This window comes from Homo sapiens, chromosome 1 (genome assembly GCF_000001405.40).
Source record: "Homo sapiens chromosome 1, GRCh38.p14 Primary Assembly".
In the NCBI taxonomy this organism is placed as follows: domain Eukaryota; kingdom Metazoa; phylum Chordata; class Mammalia; order Primates; family Hominidae; genus Homo; species Homo sapiens.
The window spans coordinates 41,065,752-41,093,503 of record NC_000001.11 but is presented as its reverse complement, the minus strand read 5'-3'; the positions used below and the strand labels follow the sequence as shown (position 1 = coordinate 41,093,503).

General features: G+C 38.3%; 1 protein-coding gene across 42 annotated transcripts in view; it reads left to right on the top strand.

The window, feature by feature from the left end:
• The window catches only part of SCMH1 (Scm polycomb group protein homolog 1), a 215,105-nt gene that overhangs the window by 148,803 nt on the left and 38,550 nt on the right, over positions 1-27,752 (top strand). For 39 of the 42 annotated variants that reach the window (NR_135092.2, XR_946584.3, XR_007096354.1 and 36 more), the window contains 2 exons: positions 18,053-18,285; positions 22,783-22,909. The exons of the other annotated variants lie outside the window; for them this stretch is intronic. Coding sequence is in view for 32 of the 39 variants with exons in the window: in NM_001172222.3 (NP_001165693.1) it covers positions 18,053-18,285; positions 22,783-22,909 (360 nt within the window). In the remaining 7 variants the exon portion in view is untranslated. The remainder of the gene's footprint in view (positions 1-18,052; positions 18,286-22,782; positions 22,910-27,752) is intronic. 42 annotated transcript variants of the gene reach the window in all.

The following is a 27,752-nucleotide window of genomic DNA, read 5'->3' as shown; positions in this document are numbered from 1 at the left end:
AGGGTACACGTGCACAACGTGCAGGTTTGTTACATATGTATACATGTGCCATGCTGGTGTGCTGCACCCACTAACTCGTCATTTACATTAGGTATATCTCCTAATGCTATTCCTCCCCCCTCCCCCCACCCCATGACAGCCCCGTGTGTGATGTTCCTCACCCTGTGTCCAAGTGATCTCATTGTTGAATTCCCATCTATGAGTGAGAACATGCGGTGTTTAGTTTTCTGTCCTTGCGATAGTTTGCTGAGAATGATGGTTTCCAGCTTCATCCATGTCCCTACAAAGGACATGAACTCATCCTTTTTTATGGCTGCATAGTATTCCATGGTGTACGTGTGCCACATTTTCTTAATCCAGTCTATCATTGATGGACATTTGGGTTGGTTCCAAGTCTTTGCTATTGTGAATAGTGCCGCAATAAACATATGTGTGCGTGTGTCTTTATAGCAGCATGATTTATAATCCTTTGGGTATATGCCCAGTAATGGGATTGCTGGGTCAAATGGTATTTCTAGTTCTAGATCCTTGAGGAATCGCCACACTGTCTTCCACAATGGTTGAACTAGTTTACAGTCCCACCAGTAGTGTAAAAGCATTCCTATTTCTCCACATCCTCTCCAGCACCTGTTGTTTCCTGACTTTTTAATGATCGCCATTCTAACTGGTGTGAGATGGTATCTCATTGTGGTTTTGATTTGCATTTCTCTGATGGCCAGTGATGATGAGCATTTTTTCATGTGTCTGTTGGCTGCATAAATGTCTTCTTTTGAGAAGTGGCTGTTCATATCCTTTGCCCACTTTTTGATGGGGTTATTTGATTTTTTCTTGTAAATTTGTTTAAGTTCTTTGTAGATTCTGGATATTAGCCTTTTGTCAGATGGGTAGATTGCAAAAATTTTCTCCCATTTTGTAGGTTGCCTGTTCACTCTGCTGATAGTTCTTTTGCTGTGCAGAAGCTCTTTCGTTTAATTAGATCCCATTTGTCAATTTTGGCTTTTGTTGCCATTGCTTTTGGTGTTTTAGACATGAAGTCCTTGCCCATGCCTATGTCCTGAATGGTATTGCCTAGGTTTTCTCCTAGGATTTTTATGGTTTTAGGTCTAACATTTAAGTCTTTAATCCATCTTGAATTAATTTTTGTATAAGGTGTAAGGAAGGGATCCAGTTTCAGCTTTCTACATATGGCCAGCCAGTTTTCCCAGCACCATTTATTAAATAGGAAATCCTTTCCCTATTTCTTGTTTTTCTCAGGTTTGTCAAAGATCAGATGGTTGTAGATGTGTGGTATTACTTCCAAGGGCTCTATTCTGTTCCATTGGTCTATACCTCTGTTTTGGTACCACTACCATGCTGTTTTGGTTACTGTAACCTTGTAGTATTGTTTGAAGTCAGGTAGCGTGATGCCTCCAGCTTTATTCTTTTGGTTTAGGATTGTCTTGGCAATGCGGGCTCTTTTTTGGTTCCATATGAACTTTAAAGTAGTTTTTTCCAATTCTGTGAAGAAAGTCATTGGTAGCTTGATGGGGATGGCATTGAATCTGTAAAGTACCTTGGGCAGTATGGCCATTTTTCACAATATTGATTCTTCCTATCCATGAGCATGGAATGTTCTTCCATTTGTTTGTGTCCTCTTTTATTTCATTGAGCAGTGGTTTGTAGTTCTCCTTGAAGAGGTCCTTCACATCCTTTGTAAGTTGGATTCCTAGGTATTTTATTCTCTTTGAAGCAATTGTGATTGGGAGTTCACTCATGATTTGGCTCTCTGTTTGTCTGTTATTGGTGTATAGGAATGCTTGTGATTTTGTATCCTGAGACTTTGCTGAAGTTGCGTATCAGCTTAAGGAGATTTTGGGCTGAGATGATGGGGTTTTCTAAATATACAATCATGTCATCTGCAAACAGGGACAATTTGACTTCCTCTTTTCCTAATTGAATACCCTTTATTTCTTTCTCTTGCCTGATTGCCCTGGCCAGAACTTCCAACACTATGTTGAATAGGAGTGGTGAGAGAGGGCTTCCCTTCTTGTGCCAGTTTTCAAAGGGAATGCTTCCAGTTTTTGCTCATTCAGTATGATATTGGCTGTGGGTTTGTCATAAATAACTCTTATTATTTTGAGATACATCCCATCAATACCTAGTTTATTGAGAGTTTTTAGCATGAAATGCTGTTAAATTTTGTCGAAGGCCTTTTCTGCATCTATTGAGATAATCATGTGGTTTTTATCTTTAGTTCTGTTTATATGATGGATTACGTTTGTTGATTTGCGTATGTTGAACCAGCCTTGCATCCCAGGGATGAAGCCAGCTTGATCATGATGTATAAGCTTTTTGACATGCTGCTGGATTCGGTTTGCCAGTATTTTATTGAGGATTTTTGCATCCATGTTCATCAGGGATATTGGTCTAAAAGTGTCTTTTTTTGTTGTGTCTCTCAACTAACATTTTTTTTTTTTTTTTTTTTTGACACGGAGTCTCGCTCTTTCGCCCAGGCCGGAGTGCAGTGGTGCTATCTTGGCTCACAGCAAGCTCCGCCTCCCAGGTTCACACCATTCTCCTGCCTCAGCCTCCCAAGTAGCTGCGACTACAGGCACCCGCCACTGCGCCCAGCTAATTTTTTGTATTTTTAGTAGAGATGGGGTTTCACCGTGTTAGCCAGGATGGTCTCGATCTCCTGACCTCATGATCCACCCGCCTCAGCCTCCCAAAGTGCTGGGATTACAGGCGTGAGCCACCGCGCCTGGCCTTCAACTAACATTTTTAAAGAAACTACCACTTGCTGAGTTTCAGAGTGAGCTTTTTAATTTTTTTAACTTTTAATTTAAAAAATTATTTTTAATTGTAGGTATGTAATTGTTATACATATTTATGGGGTACATGTGATATTTTGATACAGGCATACAGTGTGTAAGGATTAAATCAGGGTTATTGGGATATCAATCACCTCAAGCATTTATCTTTTTTTTTTTTGGTTTAGAATCAAAGGAGAATATCCACAATTACCTGAAAAGGTTATTTCAGTACTCCTCCCTTTTCCAGCTACATATCCCATGAGTCTGGAGTTTCTTTGTAACTTCAACCAAAAATTACGTATGGCAACAGATTGAATGCAGAAGCAGATATGAGCATCTAACTGCCTTCTGTTAGATCAGAGATGAAGAGATTTGCAAAAATATAAAATAATGTTCTTTTCACTAAACTTATTGTTTTGGAAAATATAATTTCATAAAAAGGTGTTAACATGTTTGTGTTAACTTAAAATTCATATTGTATCTAAGTTTTAATTTCTAATATGATAAATGTTGATAGATACAACACATAACAACTCTTTGTGGACCTCCATAAATTTTAAGAGTGTAAAGCGGTCTTGACACCAAAGAGTTTGAGAATCACTAGCAAAAAGGACAATATTGGCCAGGCATGGTGGCTCACACCTGTAATCCCAGCACTTTGGGAGAGTGAGGCAGGTGGATCAGTTAAGGCCAGGAGCTTGAGATTAGCCTGGCCAACATGGCAAAACCTCATCTCTACTAAAAATACAAAAATTAGCCAGGCATGGTGGCACATGCCTGTAGTCCCAGCTACTCGAGAGGCTGAGGCACGAGACTCGCTTGAACCTGGGAGGTAGAGGTTGCAGTGATCTGAGATTGTACCACTGCACTCCAGCCTGGGCAACAGAGCAAGACTCTGTCTCAAAAAAAAAAAAAAAAAAAAAAGAGACAACATGGTTAGAGTGGAATAATCAAGGGAGAGTGGTAGGAAGTAGGTCAGAAAAATAATGAGGAATCAGATCATATAGGGCTCCAAAGTTCAGCATAAGGACCTTGGCTTTAGTTCTGAGTGAAAGGGGAAGCTATTGAAGGTTTTGAGCAAAGGAATGGTGAGATCTGAAGCATGTTTTAACAGGCTCACTCTGGTAGCTGTGTTCAAATTAGAGTAGAGGAGCAGAGACAAACCATTCAAAAGGCTTATTGTAAAAACCCAGGTTAGAGATGATGGTGGCTTAGGCCAAAGAAGTATGAAGGGGACTTATGAAAAACGATCAGATTGTTAATACATTTTCAAGTTATAGCTCATGGACTGCTAATAGGACAGGAATATAAGAAGAAGAGAGGGGTCAAGGACAACTCCAAGGTTTTTAGCTTGTGCCATTTGAAAGGAGATAGAGAAGTCTTGGGAAGAACAAGTCTATGGACTGAGATAGGTGAGTCAGAACTTCAGTTGCAGATATACTATGCTTAGAATGTCTAATAGATTTTCAAGTGGGAAATTGTATTAAAAACAAGAAGTTTAAGGGAAATTTCTAAGCTGGTAATATAAACTTGGAAGTTTTAATTATAGGTAGAATTTAAAGCCATGAGGCTAGAGGAGATCCTAGGGTTGTGTTCTGAAAATGTGGTCCCCAGACCAGCAGCATCAGCACTGCCCAGAAAAGCAAATTCCCAGACCTACTAAAGCAGAAACTCAGAGGCTGGGGCTCAGCAATCTGAATTTTAACAAGCCATGCAGACTAAAGTTTAAGAACCACTTACCTAAGGACTAGAGTGTAGACAGAGAAGAGAAATCTGTTCAATGACACTCCTGGGACATGCCCATCATTTACAGGTTGGTAAATATTTTACATCTCCCCTTTTTCTACAGTATGAATCTTAGTTTCCGCCAACATCCTATAATACACATAAAATAAGTTTCAGAATTCTATATGCATACCACTATGGAAAAACTCTTAGAAGAGTTCAAGATTTGTTTACGTTTTTTTCCTCCTTAGATGGTTAAAGTACTTAAAGTACTCTGTTCAAAAATTACTTGAATTACTTTTTTTCCTTCAGTGTAATTATGTTATTCATTTAAAACACAGTTGTGAATTAGCCAGGCATGGGGACACACATCTGTAGTCCCAGCTAGCTACTCAGGAAACTAAGCTGGGAGGATCGCTTGAGCCTAGGAGTCCGAGGCTGCAACGAGTTATGATTGAGCCACTGCACACCAGGCTAGGTGACAGAGTCAGACCCTATCCCTAAAAAAATAAAATATAGTTGAGTTTATTTGTTCCTGTTTGCATTCAGTTTAAGGTTCAGTTTTTGTCCTTATCTTTATGGATTTAATTTTATTTTTTGAATATATAGAAAATTAACTTGCTTCCAAGAGTCAAAAGTCATACAAAACATTTACTAAGAGAAGTATCGTCCACCCTTTCTCTTCTACCTTATTCCTTCCACCACCACTACCCTCTTTAAGCAATCACTTTCACTATTTTCTGGTTTATCCTCCAATGTTTCATTTTACAAAAGTAAGCAAATTTATGTGTGTTTTCCTACCCTTCTTACACAAAAGTTAGCATGCTCTATATTCTCTTTTGTACTTTGCTTTCTTCTTTTACTTAACAGTATACCCTGGGAGTCACTCCTTTGCAAGTTCACAAAGATCTCCCTTATTCTAAGCTGTAGACTACTCCATTGTGTATGTGTGTGTGTATACAATCAATATAGTTTCTGGTATTTTACAATTACAAATAATGCTACCATTGCATAAATAAATACACACACACACACACACACACACACACCAGAAACTATATATAGTGTATAGATTATTATATATAGTATATTGTACAATAATATGTAATACTGTATATGTATTGCTTAATAAACTTGTACACATGTATTTTCATATTTGGAGGTGTATCTTCAGGGTAAATGACCAGAAGCGGTATTCTTGGGTCCAAGGGTAAAGGCAAATATAGTTTTGTTAGATACTGCCAAATTCCCTTCCACAGAGATGCTACCAGTTTTCATTCTCACCAGCAATGTGCTTGTTTTCCCGTAGCCTCACCAACAGAGTATATTATCAAGCTTTTGACTTTTTTGCCAATCTGATGGGTGAGAACTGGTTTCTCAATATAATTTTAATTTGCATTTCTCTTTTTATGAGTGAAGTTTAACATCTTTTCATATGTCTAGGGTGCCATTTTATCTTTTTTTTTTCTTTTACAGGTTGTCATTTCTTTTGCTCATTTACCCGTGTGATTATAGGTCTTTTTTCCTCTCAATTTTAAAAGTCCTTTGTATGTTAGATACACCCTTTTATTGTAACATATATCGTAAATATTTTCTCCCAATTTGTACTTTGCTTATGGTAGTTTTTCATTTGTTTCTCATGCAAAAGTTTTAATTTTATAGTTAAATTTATTAACCTTTCATTATAGGAATTCACCTATATTTTCCTCTAGTACTTATATATTGTTTTTCTTTTTTATTGTTACATCTCTGATCCATTTGGAATTTATTCTTGTATTTGGTGTGAGAAATAGATCTAATTTGTGTTTTTCCAGTGGCCATCCATTGTTCCACTATCATTTATTAATGTCTTCATCTTTGCCCTAGTAATTTGAGATACTGCTTTTATCATATCCCAGATTTATGTGTATAGTTGGGTCTGTTTTTCTATTCCATTGGTGTGCCTGTCCATTGGTGTACCAGTACCACAGTTTTCATAATAGAAGCTTTGTATTTTAATGTCTGCTAAGGCTAATTCCCTCAGCTCTCACATTCTGTTGTTTTCTTAGTTATTGTTATGGTTTCTGCTTTGTGTGTTTGGGGTTTTTTTTTTTTTTTTGGTTTTGTTTTGTTTTTTGAAACAAGGGTCTCATTATATTGCTCAGGCTGGTCTCCAACTCCTGAGCTCAAACGATCAGCTTCCCAAGCAGGTGGTACTACAGGTATGCACTGCTGCACCCAGCTAGTTTGTTGTTGTTGCTGTTGTTTAGAGACAGCATCTTGCTATGTTGCATAGGCTGGTCTTGAATTCCTAGCCTCAAGTGACCCTCCCACCTCAGCCTCCTGAGTAGCTGGGACTACCAGTGTGAGCTACAGTGCCTGGTTGTGGTTTTTTTTAATACATACAAAGTTTAATGTCAACTTATCCAGCTCCAGGGGCAGGGCAGGGCAGGGGCAGTGGGGAAAGGTTTCTTTGTATTTTTATTGAGGTTGCATTAAGTTTGTAAGTTAACTTAGAACTAACAACTTGATGATATTGAAAAATAAAAGAACAAGGATAGATGTCTTTTTGTCAAGTCTACTTGTGTGTCTTTCAGCAGTGTTTTGTAATTATCTTCATATGGATTTTTCATATTTCCTGTTAACTTTGTTCCTGAGTATTTCTGCCTCTGTTACATTATCTAACTGATTTGCTATATATGAAGGCTGTTGAGTTTTGTATGTCAGTTACGTATTCTGTTACCTTGCTCAATTCTTTCACTGTTTGAGCTAGCTTCATCACTGATTTTATAGGGATGCACTGTCCAATAGAAATGTAATTTGAGCTATGTACATAATTAAAATTTTTGTAGTACATTTTAAAAAGAAAGGCTGGGCGTGGTGGCTCATGCTTGTAATCCCAACACTTTGGGAGGCCAAGGCGGGCAGATCACAAGGTCAGGAGATCGAGACCATCCTGGCCAATGTGGTGAAACCCTATCTCTACTAAAAATACAGAAATTAGCTGGGCGTGGCGGTGGGTACCTGTAATCCCAACTACTCAGGAGGCTGAGGCAGGAGAATCGCTTGAACCCAGGAGGCAGAGGTTGCAGTGAGCCGAGTTCACGCCACTGCACTCCAGCCTGGGCAACAGAGCAAGACTCCATCTCAAAAAAAAAAAAAAAAAAAAGCAGGTGAAATTAATTTTAATACTATATTTAATCCATAATATCCAAAACATTATCATTTCAATATGTAACCAATATAAGACATTATTAGTGAAATAGTTTACATTCTTTTTCTACTGTGTCTTCAAAATCCAGTGTGCATTTTATATTTACAGCACATCTCAGTTTGAACTAGTCACATTGCAAGTGCTCAGGAGCCACATGTGTCTAGTGCTTACTTTTTTGGATGGCGCATACCCTGTCATGTCATCTACAAATACAGATTGTTTTACTTTATCTTTTCCAATTCTTAGGCTTCTAATTTGTTTCTCTTATCTTTAATACTTTGGTTAATACCTCCAGTGCAATGTTAAATATTAGTGGAGCTAGTAGGTATCAGTACTTTATTCCTGACCTTAGTGGGAATACCTCTTGTGTTTCTCCAGTAAGATGTTTCCTTTAGGATTTTGGCATATATGTATTATCATGTTAATCACATAGCAAACTATTTATATTTTCTTGAGTGCTTAATTTTGTCAAAAACCTTTCCAGCATTAATAGAGTCATCACATAATTTTTTTTCTTAGACCTATTAATAAGGTCTGTTGATTGATTTCCTAATATTGAATTATCTTTGCATTTATAGTATAGACCCAACTTGTTCGTGGTAGTCTCTTAACTCTTTTTCTTTTTTTGCTTTTTCTTGTTTTTTATTTTATTTTATTTATTATTATTATTATACTTTAAGTTTTAGGGTACATGTGCACAATGTGCAGGTTAGTTACATATGTATACATGTGCCATGCTGGTGTGCTGCACCCACTAACTCGTCATTTAGCATTAGGTATATCTCCTAAAGCTATCCCTCCCCCCTCCCCCACCCCACAACAGTCCCCAGAGTGTGATATTCCCCTTCCTGTGTCCATGTGTTCTCATTCTTCAATTCCCACCTATGAGTGAGAATATGCAGTGTTTGGTTTTTTGTTCTTGCGATAGTTTACTGAGAATGATGATTTCCAATTTCATCCATGTCCCTACAAAGGATATGAACTCATCATTTTTTATGGCTGCATAGTATTCCATGGTGTATATGTGCCACATTTTCTTAATCCAGTCTATCATTGATGGACATTTGGGTTGGTTCCAAGTCTTTGCTATTATGAATAGTGCTGCAGTAAACATACGTGTGCATGTGTCTTTATAGCAGCATGATTTATAGTCCTTTGGGTATATACCCAGTAATGGGATGGCTGGGTCAAATGGTATTTCTAGTTCTAGATCCCTGAGGAATCGCCACACTGACTTCCACAAGGGTTGAACTAGTTTACCGTACCACCAACAGTGTAAAAGTGTTCCTATTTCTCCACATCCTCCCCAGCACCTGTTATTTCCTGACTTTTTAATGATCGCCATTCTAACTGGTGTGAGATGGTATCTCATTGTGGTTTTGATTTGCATTTCTCTGATGGCCAGTGATGGTGAGCATTTTTTCATGTATTTTTTGGCTGCATAAATGTCTTCTTTTGAGAAGGGTCTGTTCATGTCCTTCGCCCACTTTTTGATGGGGTTGTTTGTCTTTTTCTTGTAAATTTGTTTAAGTTCATTGTAGATTCTGAATATTAGCCCTTTGTCAGATGAATAGGTTGCGAAAATTTTCTCCCATTTTGTAGGTTGCCTGTTCACTCTGATGGTAGTCTCTTTTGCTGTGCAGAAGCTCTTTAGTTTAATTTGATCCCACTTGTCAATTTTGGCTTTTGTTGCCATTGCTTTTGGTGTTTTAGACATGAAGTCCTTGCCCATGCCTGTGTCCTGAATGGTAATGCCTAGGATTTCTTCTAGGGTTTTTATGGTTTTAGGTCTAACGTTTAAGTCTTTAATCCATCTTGAATTAATTTTTGTATAAGGTGTAAGGAAGGGATCCAGTTTCAGCTTTCTACATACGGCCAGCCAGTTTTCCCAGCACCATTTATTAAATAGGGAATCCTTTCCCCATTGCTTGTTTTTCTCAGGTTTGTCAAAGATCAGATAGGTGTAGATATGCGGTGTTATTTCTGAGGGCTCTGTTCTGTTCCATTGATCTATATCTCTGTTTTGGTACCAGTACCATGCTGTTTTGGTTACTGTAGCCTTGTAGTATTGTTTGAAGTCAGGTAGCGTGATGCCTCCAGCTTTGTTCTTTTGGCTTAGGATTGACTTGGCGATGCGGGCTCTTTTTTGGTTCCATATGAAGTTTAAAGTAGTTTTTTCCAATTCTGTGAAGAAAGTCATTGGTAGCTTGTTGGAGATGGCATTGAATCTATAAATTACCTTGGGCAGTATGGCCATTTTCATGATATTGATTCTACCTACCCATGAGCATGGAATGTTCTTCCATTTGTTTGTGTCCTCTTTTATTTCATTGAGCAGTGGTTTGTAGTTCTCCTTGAAGAGGTCCTTCACTTCCCTTGTAAGTTGGATTCCTAGGTATTTTATTCTCTTTGAAGCAATTGTGAATGGGAGTTCACTCATGATTTGGCTCTCTGTTTGTCTGATACTGGTTTATAAGAATGTTTGTGATTTTTGTACATTGATTTTGTAACCTGAGACTTTGGTGAAGTTGCTTATCAGCTTAAGGAGATTTTGGGCTGAGACAATGGGGTTTTCTAGATATACAATCATGTCCTCTGCAAACAGGGACAATTTGACTTCCTCTTTTCCTAATTAAATACCCTTTATTTCCTTCTCCTGCCTAATTGCCCTGGCCAGAACTTCCAACACTATGTTGAATAGGAGTGGTAAGAGAGGGCATCCCTGTCTTGTGCCAGTTTTCAAAGGGAATGCTTCCAGTGTTGGCCCATTCAGTATGATATTGGCTGTGGGTTTGTCATAGATAGCTCTTACTATTTTGAGATATGTCCCATCAATACCTAATTTATTGAGAGTTTTTAGCATGAAGAGTTGTTGAATTTTGTCAAAGGCCTTTTCTGCATCTATTGAGATAATCATGTGGTTTTTGTCGATGGTTCTGTTTATATGCTGGATTACATTTATTGATTTGTGTATATTGAACCAGCCTTGCATCCCAGGGATGAAGCCCACTTGATCATGGTGGATAAGCTTTTTGATGTGCTGCTGGATTCGGTTTGCCAGTATTTTATTGAGGATTTTCGCATCAATGTTCATCAAGGATATTGGTCTAAAATTCTCTTTTTTTGTTGTGTCTCTGCCCGGCTTTGGTATCAGGATGATGCTGTTTGGCATGTTTTTGGCATGTTTTTGCAGTGGCTGGTACCAGTTGTTCCTTTCCATGTTTAGTGCTTCCTTCAGGAGCTCTTTTAGGACAGGCCTGGTGGTGACAAAATCTCTTAGCATTTGCTTGTCTGTAAAGTATTTTATTTCTCCTTCACTTATGAAGCTTAGTTTGTCTGGATATGAAATCCTGGGTTGAAAATTCTTTTCTTTAAGAATGTTGAATATTGGCCCCCACTCTCTTCTGGCTTGTGGAGTTTCTGCCGAGAGATCCGCTGTTAGTCTGATGGGCTTCCCTTTGTGGGTAACCCGACCTTTCTCTCTAGCTGCCCTTAACATTTTTTCCTTCATTTCAACTTTGGTGAATCTGACAATTATGTGTCTTGGAGTTGCTTTTTTTCATTTTCTTAATGTCCTTTGATTAAGAGAAATATTTTGTTTTAATGAGGCCATATATATCTTCACTCTTTGATAATTAGTGCTTTTTGTGTCCTGTTTTAATAAATCTTTGGCCGCCCCCATAGTTTTGAAGGTATTCTCATTTGTCTTCTAGAAATTTGATGTTTTAGCCTTCACATTAATTTTTGTATCTGGTGTGAAATAGAACTCAAGTTTAATTTTTTTCCATATGGATACCTATTTGACTCACCACAGTTTTATTGAAAAGACCATTTTTTCTCTCCACAGAATTGCAAGGGCACATTTATCATAAATCAGATGACTATATATGTGTAGTTAATTTTGGAACTCTCTATTTTGCTCTGTTGATTCATTCATCTACCCTTGCACCAATAATATATGTCTTTTTTTTTTTAAGACAGAGTCTTATTCTGTCACCTAGACTAGAGTGCAGTGACACCATCATGGTTCAGTGCAGCCATGACTTCCAGGGCTTAAGTAATCCTCCCACCTCAGCCTCCAGAGTCACTGGGACTACAGGTGTGCACCACCATGCCCAGCTAATTTTTTAAAAAATTTTTGTAGAGACTGGGTCATGCTATGTTGCAAGGCTGGTTTCAAACTCCTGGCCTCAAGCAATCCTCCTGCCTCAGTCTCCCAGAGTGCTGGGGTTACAGGCATGAAACACCATGCCCAACAAATAATATATGTGTCAATTACTGTAACTTTATAATGAATCTTGCTATTTGATGATGCATGTTCTCCAGCTTTGCTGTTATTCATCAAGATTGACTTGGCTACTATAGGTCCTTTGCATTTCCTATTAAAATTTAGAATTAAATTGTCAATTTGCATACATACACCACACATTTTTTAGAAACTGCTGAGATTTCTATTGGAATTGCATTGACTCTAGATCAGTTTGATGAGAGTTGACACCTAACAGTGGTGATGCTTTCAATCTATGAATGTAACATATCCCTTCATGGCCATGTGATATCTAGATCTTCTTTAATTTCCCCTATCAATATTTTATAGTTTTCAGTGTAGATGTCTTGCCCATCTTTCACTGAATACTTGATGTTATTTGATTTTGTGGATTTTTAAATAATTTTCAAATTGTTGCTATTTAGAGAAATACATTAGATTTTTAAATATTAGATTTGTATCTAGTGACCTTTCCAAATTCATTTTTTTATTTTAATAGATTTTGTAGACTTGTAAGGAGGAATATTTATGTAAACAATCATGTCACGTACAAGTAATGCTTCTTCCCTTACAGTCTGTATTTATAGATTTTATTTCTTTTCCTTTCCTTATTGCATTGACCTCCAATACAATGTCGAATAGAAGTGGTGATAGTAGTTATTTTGTTTTATCCCATAATTCAATAAGAAGTGTTCAATATTTCACCATTAAGAATGCTGTTGATTATAGGTTTTTTATAGATGCGTTTATCTAGACTAAGGAAATTCTCTTTTATTCCTAGTTTATTGATAATTTTTATCATGAATGGATGTTGAATTTTGTCAAATGCTTTTTCTTCATCTGTTGAGATGATATATAGGTTTTCTCTTTCATTTAGTGAATGTATGTGTTCAGCGGATTGTATTTTCCATTGTTAACCTTTGTATTTCTGAAATAAATCCCACTTAGTTATGATATATTATCCTGCATGTTATGATATGATATATATAGGATTGTATATCTGATATACATATAGAGAGAGACCTAGATTTAATTTACAAATACTTTGTTAAAGATTTTGGATGTATGTTCATGAGGGATATTAGTCTATAGTTTTTTTTTCTTGTAACTATCTTTGTCATGTTTTGGTATGAGGGTTATGCTGGCCTTATAAAATGAAATGGGAAGTGTTCCCTCTTCTATTTTTCAAAAGAGGCTTTGCAAGATTTGTTATTATTTCTTCTTTAAATATTTGCTAGAATTCATCAGTGAAGCCAGTTTAGGCCTGGGATTTTCTTTGTGGAAAGATTTTTAATTGCAATTGCAATTTTTTATTATGTATGAGGCTCTTCATATTCTGTTTTTTTCTTGTGTCAGTGGTATTTTTGCTTTGTTTTGTGTTTTAAGAGAGAGACTCATATATTATGTAAATAATGGAACAAACAAACAGATTTTTTAAAAATCATAATTAAAATGTTAAAATGTAAAAAAGATGAACAAAGTGTAAGAAAAAATAGTACCCACAGAAATATCTATATAAAAAATTAAATGGACATCTTATACCTAAAAAATACAGTATTAGGAATAACTCATTGCATGGGTTTAAGGGCAGACAAGAGCCAACAGAAAGGAGTAATAAACTTGATGAAAAAATAGAAAATATCCAAAATAAAGTACAGTGAGAAAATACAAAAAAAATTTAGAGCATTAGAGATAAGAGATAGAGCCTGTAATCCAGGCTGAAGTGCAGTGGTGTGATATAGCTCACTGCAACCTCGACCTGGGCTCAAGCGATCCTCTTGAGTAGCTAGGGCTACAGGCACACACCATGCTCAACTAATTTGTTTTTGTAGAGATGGGGTCTCACAGTGTTGCCCAGGCTGGTCTTGAGTGACATTTTATCTCAATTTTCATATTTAATTGGCATAAAGTTATTCATACTGTCCTGTTCTCTACCCAATGTCTGATGGATCTATGATGAAATTGTCTCTGCGTATTCTATATTTATTAGGTATATGTATCAGTTAGGTTGGTTGGTTAATTGGTTATTCATGTTATTAGTTTTCTTTTGGTTAGTGTTTATAGAGTACATTATTTTCATCTGTTTGCTTTTCTCTTCCTGTGTTTTTATATTTTGAGTGTCTTTGTATCTCAGGGCCCTCTTATAAACAAATATAATTGAGTTCTGGGGGTTTTTTTTGGTCTGGTTTGTTCATTTATTCCTACTGACTGTTTTACTTAATCCACCCTTCTTTAATAAAATTATTTATTTGGGTTTAAGTCAACATTTTGCATTTTGCTTTTTTGTTTTCTATTTGTCCAAGTTCTTCCTTATTTCTTTATTCCTCCTTTCTTGCCTTCTTTTGGATTAATCAAGTATGTTTTATTATTCTACTTCTCTCCCCTTAGCTTTTTAGTAATGCATTCTTATCCCTGATAATTCTTTAATTAATTGCCGTATGCAAATATGCATATTGGACTTATTAAAATCTACCTTAAATAAGTGCTCTAACTACTCCCAAATAATGCAAAATTCTTAACAAAGTTTGGCTCCATTTACTCTCCACTTTCATCCTCTGTGCTATTACTGTCACATAACTTATTAATACATATATTATAAACGGCACAAGCCATTTTTATTATTGTTTTAAATAATCAGTATCCTTTTGTATCAACTCACATGTTTACCCTTTCTCGTGTTCTTCATCCTTCCTGTAGTTTCATGTTTCCATTTGGAATGTCCTTCAGCCTGAAGAACTTCCTTTTCATTTTCCATAGTTAGGTCTGCTGGTGACAGATTCTCTCAACTTTGATTATTTGAAAATCTCATTATTTTACCTTTATTTCTGAAGGATATTTTCACTGGGTGTATAATTCTATCTTTGGTAGTCTGTTTCTTTTAGCCCTTTAAGGATACTATTCTACTTCTTCTTGCTTACACAGTTTTATTAAAGAGCCTGCTATCACTCTTATTGTTGCTCCGGTAATGCTGTTTTTCTCTCTGACTGCTTTTTAAAATATATCTTTGTATTTCCTCCCTGTCTTTTATTTCATCTGTATTTCATCTTTTGTATTTTCAGCAGTTTGACAATTATGTGTTTTGGTATCGTTTTCTTTGTATTTTTCCTGCTATGGATTGCTGAATCCATAAGCATCCTGAATCTGTGGGTTGATGTCTTTCATTAGTTAGAGATTAAGTCTCCGCTGTTACCTTTTCATATATTGCTTTTTCTTCATTCTATCTGTCTTCTCCCTGTGGGATTGCAGCCACTCATATTTTGGACCTATTGACTGTGTCTACTTAATCTCTAATGCTCTAATATATTTTTTCATATTTTCTCACTGTACTTTATTTTGGATGTTTTCTATTTTTTCATCAAGTTTATTAATCCTTTCTATTGGCTCTTGTCTGTCCTTAAACCCATGCAATGAGTTATTCCTAATATTGTATTTTTTAGTTATAAGATGTCCATTTAGTTTTTTATATAGATATTTCTGTGGGTACTATCTACCTTTTCTTATATTTTGTTCATCTTTTTTACATTTTAACATTTTAATTATGATTTTTAAAAAATCTGTTTGTTTGTTCCATTATTTGGATAATATATGGGTCTCTTTCTATTGCCTGTATTTTCTCTTGATTACTGATCACACTGTTTTGACTCTGTTATGTCTAATAATTTTTGTAGTATGCCAAACGTTTTATATTAAAAGAACTATTGAGGCTCCAACTGGTATCTTCCATGAGAAAGAATTCTTCCTTTCCTCTGCTAGACTAAATAGGATAGGGCCTGATCACCTCAATCTAATTCTGGATTGAGTTAGACCACATCTGGATTGTGCCTATGGTTTATGCTTGTTTTTTGGACACGGACCCTCTTGGGCTCTTGGTTGGGAACCTAATTTCTAGCTCCTTAGCCCTGAAACACTGCAGGAGATTGTCCTACCCTTGAGAGGTCTGGGGCTTAGTTTTATTACCTCTCACCCCTTATAGTTTTAAAATATCTTTAAGAGGAGATCAGCCATGTATTTGGGGTATACTACCTACTTCTAGTGGAACCTTATCTCCTAAAACCACAAGATTATAGGAGATTTTATTCTGCCTTTTAAAAGCTCTCAGTCTAGCTTTGAAGTTCCAATGTGCTGGCCCAAAATTCAGCAGATACCCAATGAGAAAAACTGGCCACATGCAGGGGCTCCTTAAGTTTCCAGTTTGTCGCAGCAGCTCTCATTTCTCTTTCCTCCAGTAGAGCCCCTCACCACATGCCAAGCCTGATCCTTAGTTTATGCCAAAATTAGCAGATGCCCTCAGGAAAGAAAACAGTATCAGCTACCTCAGAGGCCACCCCTTGGAATTCCAGTTCATCTAATCCTCATGACAGCTCTGTGGTGTCTTCCTCATGACAGCTCTGTGGTGTCTTTTTAAATAATTACTCTGACTTTTTCTAGTTGTTGCATCGTTAACATTGTACTACCACAACTATCACTTCCTACCTGGAGGCCTAGGAAGTATTATCTTCTACCTGCCCTATATAATAGTTTATTAACTGGTCTCCCTAATTCTACTCTCGTCCCTCTCACAAAGCAGTCAGAGTGGTCCTTCTAAGTATATCTTGTCCCTCCCCTGCTCAAAACCCTCTAGTGGCTTCCCTTTATATTTAGAATAAGTTCAGTTCATTTTCACAGGCTGCAGTCCTACACAATTTTACTGCTACTCACTCTCTAACCTAATTTCTCTCTACCCTCCCCTTTGCTCACTCAGTTACAGCTCTACTGACCTCCTTTCCAATTTCTCAAACACACTAACATGTTCCTGTCTCAGACTCTTTGCACTTGTTGTTATACCCTCTCACATCTTCATAAGGCATTGTGCCTTTACCTCTTTCGGGAGCTCTGTGTAAATGTCATCTCCTCAAAGAGGACTTCCCTTAAAATTTTGTTTCCTTACCCTGCATTAATTTTAATCACAGCACTTAGCACTACCTGACATTATACCGTATATTGTGTTATTTTTTTAATTTTCTTTCTCTCTCACTAGGAGGTAAGCTCCATGAGAGTGGAAGTCTGGTTTGTTCACAGTTCTATCCCCAGAGCTTAGTACAGTGTATAACTTATAGTAAGTTCTCACTATTTGTAGGATGTCTTAGATATCCCTTACCTCAAAAAATTCTCAGTTTAAGGAAAAAATGAATAATTGGAGTAAAATTAAGAAGTACTGTAACATAGATGTCTACAGAATGCTTTGGGAGTAAAGAGAGGACACTGACCTAGTTGGGACATGGTCAGAGAAGTCCTCAATAAGGAGGTGGCCCTGGATCCAGTGTTGAAAACTGAGTATTGATATGTGTCTGACAAAGAGTAATAGAGAGCTCAACATATAAGGGCTACTAGAACATGGGGTTGGATGATAGGAAATGACATCAGTCATAATGGGAGAGCAAGATGGGCAGAGTCAAAAAAGTCCTTAGAAATCAGGTTAAAGAATTTAGACCTTACCTTAAAGGTAATAAGGAATAAAGGTTTTTAAGAGCAAAGATTTTTAAGGAGAGATGCTATCAGATTTATATTTCCACATGTTCCTCTACTCCTCACTGCAATAGTCAAACTAAAACTTCAAGTAGATTGATGTAGAAAATCCCTGGCATGGTTATCAGGGCTCAATTTTAAAACAAGTTCTTATCCCAACTCACTATGTAACCTGCGGAGGGCATTGTGTCTTGTTCTGAGCCTCAGACCTTCATTCTTAGCAGGACAGAATTACAGGTTTCTAAGAGCCCTTTCAACTCTGAGCCTATGATTCTATTAATATTTATATACTTCACCTTTGACTTAGGTCACAATATTTGTCTAAGGTGCCTTAGGAAGAAAAATTTAATATTTTTTCTGCATCTGCCAGAAATAATTTAAAACCTCCAATTCCAGCCAATCTAAATTCAGTCTTCTTCAGAGATTTCCTTAACATTTAGGTCAAATGCCAGGAAACCAGCTTCTTGGAACAAAACTACCTGAGCAGAAGTGGCAAGTCCTTTTTTTCTTCTGGCTGGGATGAGAATGCAGGGGGGAGGGAGGGTGATAGAATGAGTCTTTTTCTTGCAGTTGTGATTCCAAAGAATCCCTATCCTGCCTCCGATGTGAATACTGAGAAGCCCAGCATCCACAGCAGCACCAAAACTGTCTTGGAACATCAACCAGGGCAGAGGGGGCGTAAACCAGGAAAGAAGCGGGGCCGGACACCCAAGACCCTAATTTCCCATCCCATCTCTGCCCCATCCAAGACAGCTGAACCTTTGAAATTCCCAAAGAAGAGAGGTCCCAAACCTGGCAGCAAGGTAGGTAAAATGTGGGTTTCCCAGAAAGGAATAAGGGTTTATAAAGGGGTCATTCGGCCAGGCGCCGTGGCTCACGCCTGTAATCCCAGCACTTAATGGGAGGCCGAGGCGGGCGGATCATGAGGTCAGGAGATCGAGACCATCCTGGCTAACACGATGAAACCCCATCTCTACTAAAAATACAAAAAATTAACCAGGCGTGGTGGTGGGCGCCTGTAGTCCCAGCTACTCGGGAGGCTGAGGCAGGAGAATGACGTGAACCCGGGAGGTGGAGCTTGCAGTGAGCGGAGATCGTGCCACTGCACTGCAGCCTGGGTGACAGAGCGAGACTCCGTCTCAAAAGAAAAGGCAGGGTTGGGGGCGGTCATTCATCCATACCCATCTCTCTTGGAAAGGGGCACATCTGGCCCTCTTCTCTATCTTGTGTATCTTATAAGAGGAATTTCCTAGACCGTCATCCCTACTTGCTACTTACCTGAGAGTTGGTAATATTAAAGATAGAATTGGGGAGGATAGGAAACAAATTTTAACTTTGAAAGTCACTCATATTTGAGGAGATTCTGGTCTAGTGTACATGGAAGAAACTGCTCTTTGTTAACCTTTCCAAAGTAGATGTCCAGCGTGTAGACAGAAAGCACAAATTAACTCTGTAAATGTTTTTTTTTTCTTTTAATCAGCTTTTTCAGGTTGAATGTAAATATATATTTTGCTATCTCTACCTCTTCTTTAAAAAAAATTGAATACCTACTAAGTGTCAGACTGTATTAAACACCAATACATACATATCCCATGATTTTCACAAAACCCTAAGAGATAAATAGTGTTAATGTTATTTTATAGTAAATTGAGACTTACAGATGTAAAATGATTTTTCTAAGATCACATGGCTAGTAAATGGCAAAAGCTACAGAGATTGGCCCTTAGATCTACTTCCAAGGTCACTGCTTCCCTAGCATATATTCACTCTTTCAGTCTTTCCCACATTTCCTGAGGGACACAACACTTCTAGTATTCTAGTATTGGAAAAGACAGCTGAGTCACCTTCACTGAGCACTGTTACTGAAAGTACTACCTCTTAGTCATGGCCTGTTTTTCATGGGTATCTTCCCTAAGGAAGGCATTGATATAAAAAAAAAAAAAAAAAAAGACTTCTGTCAGCAGCTTCTCTAGGGCCCCTTTTAGCATCACCTCCTCCCCTCATTTCTTAACTGTTGGGAGATTTCTCTGATGAATCTCCTGCCTGAACAAGAATACCTGAGTTCCAGTATGGAGATGATACCCAGTTCTCCCTGGGCATTCTATCCCAATCTCATTAATTCCTCCATCCCAATCTCATTAATTCCTCCCTAGGGTTAGTTTGTTTGTCTGTTGGTTTGTTTTGCTTGTTTATTAGCTTTCACTGACTTCAGTCCTTGTACAATATAAGCTCCTCAAGGTCAAGAACCTAATCTTTTTCTTCTTTTTTTTTCTCCTGTGGTACCTTATATCTCAGTCTCTTGGGAAATATTCAGAATATGCAAGATGGGTAGGAGGGTAGGTGGGTGGGTACATGGATGGAAGGATGGATGGATGGATGGATGGATGGATGGATGGATGGATGATTTTAGTGATGATGTTACCAATCTCAGTTGTCTCTTATTTTTGGCTTCGAATTCTCAGTATCACCTCCTGATCTTCCTGTGTAACACGTAATACTCCTCTTGATCTGTTACCACTAACCCAGCTCCTAATTCATTTTTGCCTTCATTACCCACCTCTCATTCTCATGTTGTAGAGGAGAGGCTGAAGGCCCTAAGGATGCCAAGGCCAGAGAAGCCATGCTTTTGATGATGTGAAGACATCTTGAGGACAGTCAGAAGAGGGAGAAAACTTATCTGGGGGACTCCAAAGATAGAACCAGAACCAATAAATGGAAACTCAAGCAGAGAAGCTTTGTCTCAACATAAAAGGAACAGTTAAATCTATCCCAAAATGGAAGTAATGAGCCCCTATAACTAGAGGTGTTTCATCAGGGACTGGATGACTATAGGAGGGATCTTTTAGGGAGAGGGAATTAGAAGTATTGGGTAGATGGTTGGGTTAAATGGCCTTTAAGATCATTCAAAACTCAAAAACTGATTCTGTGATTGCCTCTGCTCTGCTCCCTCAGGAAGTCTTGAACGTAGTAACCAAAGTCCTTTTTCTTTCCAGCCTTCTTGAAAGCAGTCATTCTCATCTTTTCCTGTGTTTTATGTCCTAGCATTTGATACTCTTAATTCTCCTTCGTGCTCTTTTGCCTACCCCTACAAGTGTATATGCCTTCCACTTCACCTGTGAGCCTTATATCCCTTTTTGTTTGTTTTGCTTTGATTTTTGAGGCAGGGTCTCACTCTGTGACCCAGGCTGAGTGCAGTGGCACAATCATTGTTTACTGCAGCCTTGACCTCCTGGGCTCAAGCGATCCTCCCACCTCAGCCTCCCAAGTAGCTGGGACTATAGGCATGTGCCACTATGCCCAGCTAATTTTTAAAAAAAACTTTTGTAGACATGGGGCCTTGCTATGTTGCCCAGGCTGGTCTCAAACTCCTGGGCCCAAGCAATTTTCCCACCTAGACCTCCCATAGTGCTGGGATTACAAGTGTGAGCCACCATGGCTGGCTTTATATCTCTTTTTGAAGCAGAGTAGTCTTGTGGATAGAGCATAAGCTTTAAAGTCAGACAAACAGGTTTAGATCTTATCTCCATATGTTACCACCTGTGTGACTTTGGGAAGGCTTCTCTGGATAAAGCCCTGAGCCCATTTTCTCACCTGTAAAATGGAAATGAGATAATGTATGAATACATATAATATTGTACATGTACCTATCTCAAATAGGTTTACATTATTCAGGCACCTAACTTACCAGGCTTCTTCCTTTAGGAACCCTGTGAAATCCTACCACCAACTCATTGAAGTTGAAGTGGTATTTCCCTTCTTCCCTGACTCATTCATTACGTATTTGGATTTTCACTTTTAGCAGTAAAAAAGCATGAGCAGATGTTCACTTTCAATGTGTGTTTTGAATGCTTCATGAGAGTTTGCATGATTGCTTTCACAGGCAAAGCCATCTTATATATGCCTGCTGTCATCAGGGCTATCTCTTTAGAGAACATACTCCTAGAAGGCAGACAGGTTGATATGGCTCCCAGCAGTTATCCCTACATGAAGCATTTAGTAAAAGTGGATTTTTGGATCTCTGTGATGGTTATGTTCTCCTTGCATTCAGAAAGGCTTTTAGCCAGACGTGGTGGCTCCTGCCTATAATCCCAACACTTTGGGAGGCCAAGGTAGGAGGATCGCTTGAGCAGGAGAAGTTCGAGACCAGCCTTGGCAATATAATGAGACCTCATCTCTACAAAAAATTTAAAAGTAAGCCATGTGTGCTGGCACACACCTGTAGTCCCAGTTACTCAGGAGGCTGAGGTGGGAGGATCGCTTGAGCCTGGGAGGTGGAGGTCGCAGTGAACCAGAACCATGCCACTGCATGCCAGCCTGGATAACAGAGCAAGACTCTGTCTCAAAAAAAAAGGCTTTTAGGAAACTATTTCTTAGAAAAACACCTGAGATCTTTCTCCCCCAAAAACTGCCCTGAACAGTGTAGGGGAAATAATAGATTTCTCTCAAATCAGCTTTATTATTTCCTCTATTATTCTATACTGCATGCTTCATTAAAAAAATTTATTTACACTTATTTTATGCTAAGTACCATGCTAAGAATGGTACTTAGAACCAGACTTTCAAAGATTTCCAGGTGAATAGGGATACTGGTATGTAAACATATCATGACAATACGTTGACAAATGCAACAGTTCAAAAAACAGAGGTAACATAAAAGAGACAATGATTAGAGAAAAACTAGAAAAGCTTCCTAGATAAACAAATTTGTAAAATAAATTTAAAAAGAGAGCATTTCAAGTGAAAGAGACATCTTATCATTGTAAAGGTGTGGACCAGGTAAAAGTGCAAGTTTTTAAAGAAGCAATAGAGATTTAGTAGAATAGGAGATTTAAGGGAATGGCAGGTAATGAGGTGAAGAGAGAGGCAGACAGAGTAAAGTTGTTTGTAGAGTTAGAAGGGTCATTTCTATTTTTTTTTGTTTGTTTCCATTTTTAAAGAGAGAAATAAAGTACAAAGTAATGTCAAAGCAGACTTAAACTATGGCATATTTTGCTTTTGTCTGCCCAACTAATAAGGGATCTGAAACTTCATATGATAATATTGAATCTAGTATAAAAGATAATAAATTAAGCTTTGACCCTAAAAAAGACCAGAGGCTTGTATATAGATTCAGAAAATGTCTACTAAGCATCTACTACAGGTATATGTATAGCTTTAAGCCAGATGCTGTGTAGAGAACAAAGATAAAACACTATTCCATCCATAAATATATTTTTGCTTCATGAGTGAATTAAGTGCCAAGAATAGGGAATGAAAAGACCTGTCATGGGTAGCAATTTTTTTCCCATTCATTTTGACAGAGGAAACCTCGGACTTTGCTGAACCCACCACCTGCCTCACCAACAACCAGCACTCCTGAACCGGATACCAGCACTGTACCCCAGGATGCTGCCACCATCCCCAGCTCAGCCATGCAGGCCCCAACAGGTAAGAGCAGATGACAGGACTACCTGCGCACAAGCCCCAGACCTAGTGTTTGCACTTTCTTTTGTCTTACACCAGTAATTAGCACCTTTCCACTTGTAAACCTAGGTAAAATATTTTTAAAAAATTTTATCTTTGGCATTTGAAATAATGTCAGACAATCAAACTTAGGTAAATTTTCTGTGAACTCAGGGATGGGGAACTAATGCAGGGATAGCACCAAGAGCTCCCTGGCCTAGTTTAGAATAATAGCCTTCCTTCCCAGTTAGGGGTGTTCCTTCTGAGTGATCCCTTCCACCTTCCAGAATCCTCCCAGCATTTCAGTAATGGTGCCACCCTTAAAATATGTATGAAATTTCTCTGATTTTTTTTTTTTAACAATCATTGATGGTGACAAACTTTGGTACAATGAAAGTAAGGTTGACTTATTGCAAAATCTGGTGGATGAAATGGGTGGGTAATCATCCTGGGTTATGCATATCTGTTCCCATTTCATAAACTGTCTATGACAGTAACTAAAAGAACTGTGCGCAGATACACAGCCTTCCAAGGGGGTAACTATAAAGAAAAATACTCATTTTTTAATGTGTAAGTTAAGATAAATGTGTGAAACCCTATTCTGTTACTCAGCAGACACTCCATCTTCTTCTAGGAAGTCTTAAGCAATTGGCATGATCCCCATGGAAGTTAGGGTTGTCTTTCTCTTAGAAGGAGTTGATTATGTCTCTAATCAAATCCTAGAATGTAGGAGCCTGAAGGGAAGGCTCAGACATAGTTTCCCATAACCGATAGAAGATGAGAGAACCTGCCATGGTCAGGCTGTAATAGTCTTCATTGACCATTGTGTCGCCATCTCTTGAGTGGGCCTTGATTCACTTTGTGTGACTTTGATATCACTTCCCTGTCTGAGCCTCAGTTTATAATCTATACAATGATAGGATTAGTCCAAATAACCTTTATAGTCCCTTCAAATGTTAACAATAAAAGCTATCACAGACTGAATGTGATGTGCCACATTTATCTTTTACCTACTTTTCATTTTTTTAACTGTAGAGAACTTTTTAAAAGGTATTTTGATTTGTGTCAGTTATACACATTCATAGTTTAAAGGAATGAAGGGTCTACACAACTTATTACAAAAACAAAACAAACATACCTCGTATCCCCCTGTCAATTACTATTCCCCAGGGGCAATCACTTTCAATTTAACTGACGTTTTTATTTACCTCTGTATCTAAATAGCATGTCTATATTGCTGTCTTTTTTAGTTATTTTTCTAATGACTACCCACTCTAGAAGATGAGAATTTAACTCTTCTTAATCTCCTTGCCCCTTATCCACCCACACATATTTCCCTACCCCAACTCCATGATATTATAATTTTAATTAGATCAAAATTCAGTGTTTTGTTATTATAACTAGTTAAATGCTGTTCTCAATTGAGCCATGTAGTATACCGTGATTACTTTTCCTTTGTTGCTCAACATTTCATTTTCAGGGGAAATCTTGTTGATTTCCTTGTTTTGTGTTTATTTTTCTGTGTACTTATTATTAATTCAACCTTAAACTCTCTTCCTACTGTGTACATCTCTCTTTATGTCCAAGTACATTATATATTCTATCCATGTCATACTCTAGAAGAAATCTCTCCTGGAGCCTTCTTAGTTTCTTGAGATTCTGTTCACCTCTCTTTTTTGGTGAGGGTCTCTGTTTGCTCTTTCCAAGGTCTTTGTTTTCTGTACATCATTCTTAGATTTACATATTTAGTTTTGTATGAAATCTCTTCATTCTCTTGGAAATTTCTCTTAATTCCCAGTACCCTAAAATTTCACTTTGGATATATTTTCACCTACCATACTGGACACTTTTATTTTATAAAATTTTTAAAAATGAGCTGAGCATGGTGGCTCACGCCTGTAATCCCAGCACTTTAGGAGGCCAAGACGGACGGATTACTTGAGGCCAGGAATTCAAGACCAGCCTGATCAACATGGCAAAACCCCTTCTCTACCAAAAATACAAAAATTAGCCAGGCATGGTGGCACATGCCTGTAGTCCCAGCTACTCAGGAGGCTGTGGCATGAGAACTGCTTGAGCCGAGGAGGTGGAGTTTGCAGTGAGCCAAGATCGTACCAGTGCACTCCAGCCTAGGTGATAGTGTGAGACTCTCTCTCAAAAGAAAAAAAAATTCTTTAATCAATTATTTTCTTTCACTTCTTTTTCTCTATTCACTCCCGTCATACCTGTTTATTCAGTTTTTGAATCTCTTGACCTGGTTCTGTAATAGTCGTATCTCTGTTCTTACCCCTATTCTTTGCCTTTTGGTCAACTTTCATCAAGTTTTCCTCAACTATATCTTCCAAACTTTGTATTGAGTTTTTCATTTTTGCCATCTTGCTTTTTAAATTATAATTATTTAGTACTCCAGTGGCATTTTCCAAAGTCTGTTTGGTAGAAACACCAGACCTGCAAAATGCTCTCCATAAAAGGATTTTACACACGTTTAGGAAATTTAGTTATATACATTTAGGAAATGCTTATACTCTACTTCCCCGTGGTTGGAGATTTGCATCTTGTTTATCAAGAGCTCTTTTTGTTGTTCTTTGAAATTTTTTAATAGACTTTTATTTTTTAGAGCAGTTTTAGATTCACAGCAAAATTGAGTGGTAGATACAGAGATTTCCTATATACTTGCTGCCCCTACACATACATTGTCTCCCATTCATCAACATCCTCCACCAGAGTGGTACATTTCTTAGAATTGATGAATTTACATTGACTCGTTATTATCACCCATGTCCATAGTTTGCATTTGGGTTTACTCTTGGTGTTTTACGTTCTGTGGGTTTTGACAAATGTATAATGACATATATCCACCATCATGTATAATACAAAATAGTTTCACTGCCCTAAAAACCCTCTGGTCTCTGCCTATTCATCCTCCCTCCCCACTAATCCCTGGCAACCACTGATCTGTTTATTGTCTCCATAGATTTGTCTTTTCCAGAATGTCACATAGTTGAAATCATACAGTATGCCACCTTTTCAGATTGGCTTCTTTCACTTAGTATTATGCATTTAAATTTATTCCATGTATTTTCATGTCTTGATAGCTCTTTTTTTTTTTTTTTTTTTTTTTGTTGTTGTTGTTGTTGAGATGGAGTCTTGCTCTGTCGCCCAGGCTGAAGTGCAGTGGCGCGATCTCAGCTCACTGCAACCTTCACCTCCCAGGTTCACGCCATTCTCCTGCCTCAGCCTTCCGAGTACCTGGGACCACAGGCGCCCGCCACCACACCCGACTAATTTTTTGTATTTTTAGTAGAGATGGGGTTTCACCATGTCAGCCAGGATGGTCTCGATCTCCTCACCTCGTGATCCACCCGCTTCAGCCTCCCAAAGTGCTGGGATTGTAGGTGTGAACCACCACGCCTGGCCGATAGCTCATTTTTTTTTAGCACTGAAAAATATTTCATTGTCCAGATGTTTCACAGTTTATTTATCCACTCACCTACTTATGGGAATGTTGGTTGCTTCAAAGTTTTTGCAATTGTGAATAAAGCTGCTGTAAATATCTGTGTGCAGGTTTTTATGTGGACATACGGTTTCAACTCCTTTGGATAAATACCAAGGAAGACAACTGCTAGATTAAATAGTAAGAGTATGTTTTGTTTTGCAAGAAACCAAAGGGGTTTCAAGATGGCTGACTAGGGCTGGGCACAGTGGCTCATGCCTGTAATCCCAGCACTTTGGGAGGCTGAGGCAGGTGTATCACTTGAGCTCAGGAGTTCAAGACCAGCCTGGGCAACATCATGAGACCCCTATCTCCACTAAAAATACAAAAAAAATAGCCAGCTGGGCACGCTGATGTGCACCTGTGGTCCCAGCTACTCGGGAGGCTGAGGTGGGAGGATCACTTGATTCCAGGGATGGGGCAGGGCAGAGGTTGCAGTGAGCCAAAATCACACCACTGCACTCCAGTCTGCGTGACAGAGCTAGACCCTGTCTCCAAAACAACAACAACAAAAAAAGATGGCTGACTAAAAGCATTTCATATGCTCACCTCCTCCACTTAGAAAAACCAAAAGAGTATATAGACAATCATACTTCTGATAAATTATCTAAGATAGAACACTGGAATTCAACAGGAAAGTGACAGGAAACACAGAAAGCAAGGAAGGAGAAAGAAGAGAAGCAGCCTACCTGGCTGAGATTGGCTAGGAAACAGCAAGTGACTTCCCAAGGGTAAGCAAGAGACTTCTAGCAGCCCACATCCCCACGTATGGAATCATGCATTCCTGGCAACGAGAGCCCTTTACCTTCCCAACCCCTGAAACTGACATAGGGAGCTGCCAGAAGACCAGGAGAGGGAACTATTCCAGGGGAGGAGCTTGCACTGGGTCACACACCCTTTCTGAGCCATAAGCAGCTACAGTTGACGCACCATTTTCAATCCTAGCCATTGGCAGACTGCATTCTGTCCTGGGGCCTAGCAGCGCCAGGAATGAGGTGTTAGGGAAAATTGAGCTGTTACTGCTTGGACTAGGGCAAAAATTGGAAATGGGTTCCCATAGGTAGGACTCACAAGTGAGGCGTAGGCTGCACCTGCCAGTTCTTTGAAGCTAGTACCACCAGGACTGAAACTGGGATGTGAACAGGGTGCAAGGTTCTGCTGGGGCTTATCTAAAATGTCATTGCCAAACCCAAGGTCATCTAGATTTTCTCCTATGTGATCGTCTAGGAGTTTTATAGTTTGCATTTTACATTTAGGTCTATTATCCTTTTGGGGTTACTTTTTTTCAAGAGTGTAGGTTCTGTGTCTAGGTTCACTTTTTTACATGTGAATGTT